We start from the raw sequence: 3,210 nt of genomic DNA on the forward strand, positions 1-3,210 counted from the left end.
AATGGGGGTGAACGGAGGGTGAAACTCAAGCCCTTCCAATGAAGATGGTGGGGAATGGTTGTCCAAGAACAACAGTGCACTGTTTCAAGGAGAAAGCCAATGTCCAGGGGAGGGGTGGCTGAGAAGGACGCTAGGCACAGTTGCTCCTTCCCTTTTTTCCCAAGTTCTCTTTATTTACCACCAAACAGTAAATTAAACTATATTAGCCAGTTCCAGGGGACCCTCTGAATGGGCTTCCTACCTGTCTCGTGGCTTGGAAGAGACCAAGGAATGTTGGCGTGGCTTGGAGAAAGAGTGAGTGAGGTCTGGGCTGAAAGTTGAGATGACTCCATGGACCACCCCCTCGTGGGGCACAAAATGGTGATGTGCTGGCAAGAGCCACTGGCTCCCTCTGGACCAGACAGGCACTGAGAGATACATGGGTGTTGGGCCCTCAGGTGTCCTGTAGAAAGTGGTAGTGTTCTTAGAGCAGTTTTTAGAGCAGCCCCTTGGCCTCAGGGAGGGACACAGGGCTCCTTTTCTGTGAGAGAGAGAGAGTTGGGGGAACAAGGAGAGAGGGCTTCCCATGGCTCTGGTTTCAGGGTGTTGACCTGGGTTTGAAGAATGGAGATAAACCTTGTGGGAAATAACAGGTTTAAGCCACTCTCCCCTCATTTCCTACTTCTGTCTCTTCCTCTAGGTACAGCTGTTGGGAGCTGCTTCTCCCGCCCTCAATCTCCCTGTCTGTGGTTCCAGAGGGAAGAAGAGGGGGAAAAAAAGGATGAAGAGAACTGTTTCAGTGCTGGGGGAGGTGAGCTTATAGCAGGGATTTAGATGGGAAATACCTCATGGGATAGGAGCAGTTTTCTCCCTCTCCAGGCCTCTCACAGATGTGAAACAACTGGCAGATCTGACTTTCCCACCCCTAACCATTGGAGGGGATGATGTGTCTTGAAACCTGTGCTTCTCGATTGAGAGGCTGGTGGGGGAAGAGAGGTCAGGAAAAGGGGCCAGATGTGTGTTCAGGGGTCCCCAGGGAGTTGAGGGAGACTAGCATCTCCTTAGGGTAAGGAAGGCAAAATGCCCATTCCTGATCCCAGATTGCTTGGATACTGTGCCTGGGAGTCCTCCTACCTCGCCTTAATTCCTGTCTCCACACACAGCTTGGCCAAGTTTCTTCCCCTGTTGGAGTCTCACTCCCAATCCCCTACTCTATCTCTCCAGGAGCCTACAAAGCACTTTGAAATCCAAAGTTTGTGGGAGGTGGCTCTATCGCACAAATACTCTGAGGTGCAACATGACTTGACTGGTAATGAGGCAACCATCCCACCTAGGGCAGAGTTCAAGGACTGCCTTCAAGAGGGGCTGGCCTCAGTTTGCCTGTTACAGAAACCACGGGCTAATAGAGGCTGCCCTCTGCCTCACAAAGAAGGAGATAAATGGGTCCACTGGAGAGCAATGGTCACAATCAAGTCTTAATGATGAATTAATAATTCATAATTACCCCAGACTTGCAGATAAGCACAAGCCCACTGGAATTATTTCCCAGGGAGGAACACAGTCAGAAAGTGTGAGAAGGGGACTTCAGTACAGACATTACTTCCAGAGGCCATTAAGTTCATCCCTCTGCTTCCAAACCAGAACCTGGAAGACATGCATTAGCTTCCTTGGCTGATTCCTCCTAACAGCTACCACCCCCTGAGCTTCTAAACAGTGCCATATTGCCCCTCTGTTCTTCATAAGGCCAGAGGACCATTCCTGCCAAAGTGACCTCAGAACCTGGACTCTGGATTTCTGGGGTCTCTCTGTTCTCTGCTCCCCATTCTGCTATTTACATATGAGGTCCCCTGTAGGAGGGCCTGGTGCTAGGTGTCCCGGCGAGATGTGGACATCTTTCTGGCTCTTCTCCTTCTCTTATCTAAGTCCTCACATGGTGGGAAAATACCTCTCTAATGCTATGTAGAAAGAGAAGGAGGGAGTGTCCCTTCTAGCGTGGATGCCTTTGGTTCCCAGATCTGGATTTGAGGGGCTGGCTCTATCTCTTAAGAAGACATTTACCTAGCGTTGGTAATGGAGATGGGGCCTTAATAGGGCTAGGGAGGCACACCCAACTCCAGACCCAGCTCTCTGCTGTTCCCCTTCCCAGTGCACACAATCCCAATTCCCACTCCAGAAAATTTTAAAAAAACATATCTTAAAAAAAAACCTCGAAAAGCCAAGCAGACCCTCAGTTTCAAGGTATCTCCTCATTCTCTCTCTCTCTCTCTCTGTCTCTCTGAATCTACAAAGAAGGAGTGAGTTTTGTCTCTCCAAGTACTCAGAGCCTTAGATCACAAAGGGGCCTTAGATCCTGGTCTTGGGGAGATCTTTGACCACCACCTCTGCTGTGGCACGACCATTGTCAAAATGCTAGAAAGAAGAGAGACTGGCTCTTAGACCAAGGGAATTTGGGATTTGAAAGGACTTCCATTTCCAGTTCTATAGATTTCCTTCCCATTAGCCTCTTCATGTGCATCAAATGTAAATGGCAGGCTAAACTTACAGGATGAAGAGAGTTGAAAGACTGCTGCCTAAAAATGCCCTTTTCCAAATCTGTGGGTGCAGAAGCACATTGAAAAGCAGGTACCCAGCCTGGCGGTGTGGCACATGCCTGAAGTCTCACATGCTTAAGAGGCTAAGGTGGGAGGACTACTTGAGCCCAGGAGTTTGAGGCTTCAGTGAACTATGATGGTGCCACAACACTCCAGCCTGGGAAACAGAGCTGGACCCCATTTCCAAAAAAAAAAAAAAAAGTAGTTACCCAGGTAAGGTGGATGATCAAGTACACCCAGTGAGAAGCACACAAACCTTACCCTTTACCCAAACTCTCTCCCTTACCTGTCCCATTTCCGGTCTCTAGAGGAGGATCAGTTAGGGGGTGTGACCCAAGTTACCCAGATAATTAACTGTGGAAGCACGATTTTTTTTCACTCCTTTGGCCTCTAAATATGAGAGATCTTTACATCTCTTGCCTAGCTCCCTCTTATTCTCTACCCTCTCCCCAACACGCACGCAAATCCTAACAACAAAAAATCCTAAATATAGGAAGACAAACCTTCCTGACCTACCATTTTGGCCCACCTGCAACCCCTGTCCCCCGCCCCTCCCCAATTTTTTTCTCTCCTGAGCCTCTGCTCTTCGCTTCTAAAATAAAAAAAAAGAAGAAGAAGGAATTTTCAATAGTCCAACTTG

The sequence above is a fragment of the Homo sapiens genome, chromosome 9, assembly GCF_000001405.40.
Source record: "Homo sapiens chromosome 9, GRCh38.p14 Primary Assembly".
NCBI lineage: Eukaryota > Metazoa > Chordata > Mammalia > Primates > Hominidae > Homo > Homo sapiens.